This window comes from Homo sapiens, chromosome X (assembly GCF_000001405.40).
Source record: "Homo sapiens chromosome X, GRCh38.p14 Primary Assembly".
NCBI classification, from domain to species: domain Eukaryota; kingdom Metazoa; phylum Chordata; class Mammalia; order Primates; family Hominidae; genus Homo; species Homo sapiens.
The window spans coordinates 1,922,800-1,926,615 of NC_000023.11; the positions used below are offsets into that span (position 1 = coordinate 1,922,800).

General features: G+C 47.9%; 1 annotated feature.

Moving 5' to 3' along the window:
- Window positions 2,066-2,774: an enhancer, noted in NCBI's record as "OCT4-NANOG-H3K27ac hESC enhancer chrY:1993758-1994466 (GRCh37/hg19 assembly coordinates)". NCBI's record gives its function as "activates a minimal SCP1, AML or CMV promoter by ChIP-STARR-seq in naive H9 embryonic stem cells {active_cell/tissue: H9 hESC(naive)}" and the evidence as "EXISTENCE:reporter gene assay evidence [ECO:0000049][PMID:30033119]".

Genomic DNA, 3,816 nt, shown 5'->3' on the forward strand with positions numbered 1-3,816 from the left:
CAGGCTGGTCTCGAACTCCTGACCTCAAGTCATCCGCCCACTTCGGCCTCCCAAAGTGGTGGGGTGACAGGCGTGAACCACCGCGCCCAGCCCCATTCACGTGTTGATGGACTCTTGGGTTGATTCTATGTATTTGCTATTGTGAACAGTCCTGCAATAAACAGATGATATTTTTTTTCTTTTTTCTTTCTTTCTTTCATTTTTTTTTTTTTGAGAGGGAGTCTCGCTCTGTCGCCCAGGCTGGAGTGCAGTGGTGCGATCTCAGCTCACTGCAAGCTCCGCCTCCCGGGTTCACGCCATTCTCCTGCCTCAGCCTCCCGAGTAGCTGGGACTACAGGCACCCGCCACCACGCCCGGCTAATTTTTTTATTTAGTAGAGATGGGGTTTCACCGTGTTAGCCAGGATGGTCTCGATCTCCTGACCTCGTGATCTGCCTGCCTCGGCCTCCCAAAGTGCTGGGATTACAGGCGTGAGCCACCGCGCCAGCCTAAACGTAGGATTTTAAATGCGTGCACCACCCACACACACACACACAAAAGAAAAGTAGGTGAGGTGAGGGATATGTTAATTGGCTTCATGCAATTATCCCATGATGTGTACATATATCAAAATTTCACACTGTACCCTACAAATACATGCAATCATTGTTTGTCCCTTAAAAATTAAATTTTCCAAAGGAAGGAGACCAACAGTGGCTTCTGAAGTCGAGGACAGAGCGAGGCTTTGCCCCCTCGGTAAAACATGAATAACGGGAAATGGAATTTTAAATGTCACCGCAGGAGGAATTTACTCATTCAGGGCCGGGGGCTTCCTCGGACGTCATAAAATCATCTTCAGCTGATGGGAATATAATGACAGCCAGCATTATCAGCAGAGAACGGCAGCTTTGAGTGTCTTTATATATTCATTGTTGTCAGTATCAGGGTTCAGAACCCGGCAGGTGGAGGTTGTGGTGAGCCGAGATCACGCCACTGCACTCCAGCCTGGGCAACAAGAGCAAAACTCCATCTCAAACAAACAAACAAACAAAAAATACAAACAGCCCAGCTAAGGTGACCTATGAAATGCAGACATTGATAATCAAGACATATGCATTTTTATTTTTTTTTAAATTTGTATTGTATTTATTTCTTCTTTTTTGAGATGGAGTCTCTCTCATTCTGTTGCCCAGGCTGGAGTGCAGTGGCGTGATCTTGGCTCACTGCAACCTCCGCCTCTTGGGTTCAAGTGATTCTCCTGCCTCAGCCTTCTGAGTAGTTGGGGTTACAGGCACCCGCCACCGCATCCGGCTAATTTTTGTATTTTTACTAGAGACAGGGTTTTGCCATGTTGACCAGGCTGGTCTCGAACTCCTGACCTCATGATCCACCCACCTCGACCTCCCGAAGTGCTGGGATTACAGGCGTGAGCCACTGCGCCCGGCCTATTTCTTGTATTTTGAGACGGAGTCTTGCTGTGTCGTCCAGGCTGGAGTGCAGTGGCATGATCTTGGCCCACTGCAACCTCTGCCTCCTGGGTTCAAGCGATTCTCCTGCCTCAGCCTCCCGAGTAGCTGGGGTTACAGGCGCCCGCCACCACATCTGGCTAATTTTTGTATTTTTACTAGGAACAGAGTTTTGCTGTGTTGGCCAGGCTGGTCTTGAACTCCTGACCTCGTAATCCACCCACCTTGACCTTCCAAAGTGCTGGGATTACAGGTGTGAGCCACCATGCCCAGCTTATTTCTTCTTTTTTGAGACAGAGTCTCACTCTGTTGCCCAGGCTGGAGTACAGTGGTGTGATCTTGGCTCAGTGCAACCTCTGCCTCCTGGGTTCAAGCCGTTCTCCTGCCTCATCCTCCCAAGTACCTGGGGTTACAGGCACCCACCACCACACCACCTAATTTTTGTATTTTTACTACGGACAGGGTTTTGCCATGTTGGCCAGGCTGGTCTTGAACTCCTGACATCCGGTGATCTGTCCGCCTTGCCCTCCTAAAGTGCTGAGATTACAGGCATGTGCTACCATAACTGATTAATTTTTGTATTTTTAGTAGAAATAGGGTTTCCCCATGTTGGCCAGGCTGGTCTCGAACTCCTGACCTCAAGGGATCCACCCACCTCAGCCTCCCAAAGTGCTGGCATTACAGGCGTGAGCTACCGCACCCGGCCGATATATGCATTTTTACTAAAAAAAAAAAAAAAAAAAAGGTTGAAATGTTGAAATATGCATCCATTCCCTTGGCCTCCTGGATGAGAAGTCACAGGTAGAAAAAGGATGGGAGATGCAAATCACGCACAAAACTGTCAGCAACAACAACAACAAAAATGTGCTGTCACGTCCCCAGAGCGGCCTCAACACAAATCCGAGCATCTGGGGTTTCTGGAATCTGGACTCTGATACATTGTTGCGTTTCCCCTGCTAGCAAATGACAATGGTATCCTGCAGGGTGGAAAGAGTGAGAGAGGCGGGCAGTCCCCGGCTGTTTAAAATAAGAATGTCGGTGCGCCAGGAGGACGGGATACATTCTTTTCCTGAGAGCAGTAAGGGTTCAAGTGTAAGAAGCCAGTAATTATCCTGGGGGAAGCGAGAATCGTCAGGGGAGTAGGGGCAAAGAGCCGAGATGGTATCGATGGTGATGAAAACGCCGGCGTATTCGTGAACACCCTGCCTTACCCACGGGGCCCTCTTGCATTCGGCTGAGGGGATAATTACAAATAATGAGAAGCCTCTGATCTCAATGCATTTACGGCTTTGGCGTTTGCGAAAGGAAGAGAGGAGTGTGAAAAATAACCTATTTTACTATGAATGAGACAAAGTAAGATTTCAGGACAAAAGACACCAGCCAAGAAAGGGGGAATGTTAATCCTTGTCCCAGACCCTTTTATAAAAGTTATCCTTGATCCAATAATTAATGTATTTGATTTGGCTCAAAGAGACAAGGGTTAAAATTAGAAAAAAAAAAAAAAAAAAAAAAAAAGAAAGGCTTGCTAAGATGTGAGAAGAAAATGAGAGAAGGAATTTATAGTCATCAAAGTGGGATACATTTGTCCATGGCGTATATGAAGTCAAAATGGAAATTCAGATCAGAAACCCACATCTTCTGGCCAGGCATGGTGGCTCATGCCTGTCATCCCAGCACTTTGGGAGGCTGAGGCAGGGAGATCACTTGAGATCAGGAGTTCAAGACCAGCCTGGCCAACATGGTGAAACCCCATCTCTACTAAAAATACAATAATTAGCCCGGGCGTGGTGGCTCACGCCTATAATCCCAGCACTTTGGGAGGCCAAGGCAGGTGGATCACCTGAGGTCGGGAGTTCGAGACCAGCCTGGCCAACATGGTGAAACCCCATCTCTACTAAAAATACAAAAATTAGTCCGGGCATGGTGGCTCATGCCTATAATCCCAGCACATCGGGAGGCCAAGCAGATGGATCACCTGAGGTTGGGAGTTCGAGACCAGCCTGGCCAACATGGTGGCCCTTCTTTACTAAAAATACAAAAATTAGCCGGGTGTGGTAGCACGTGCCTGTAATCCCAGCTACTCGGGAGGCTGAGGCCAGAGAATCGCTTGAACCTGGGAGGCAGAGGTTGCAGTGAGCTGAGATCATGCCACTGCACTCCAGCCTGGGAGACAGAGCAAGACTCTGTCTCAAAAAAAAAAAAATTCATCTCATGGACTAAACAACTTCTCTGAATCCAGGTACATTTAGGTTTTTCTTGGAACGAAGCAAGTTAACCTTTTCAGACTATTTCTAAACTTGGGCGTGTCTGCTTGATGTGTGTTTCTGGGATCCTTGCTTCCTCTCCCTTTTCTCCACCTCTTCCCTGCATT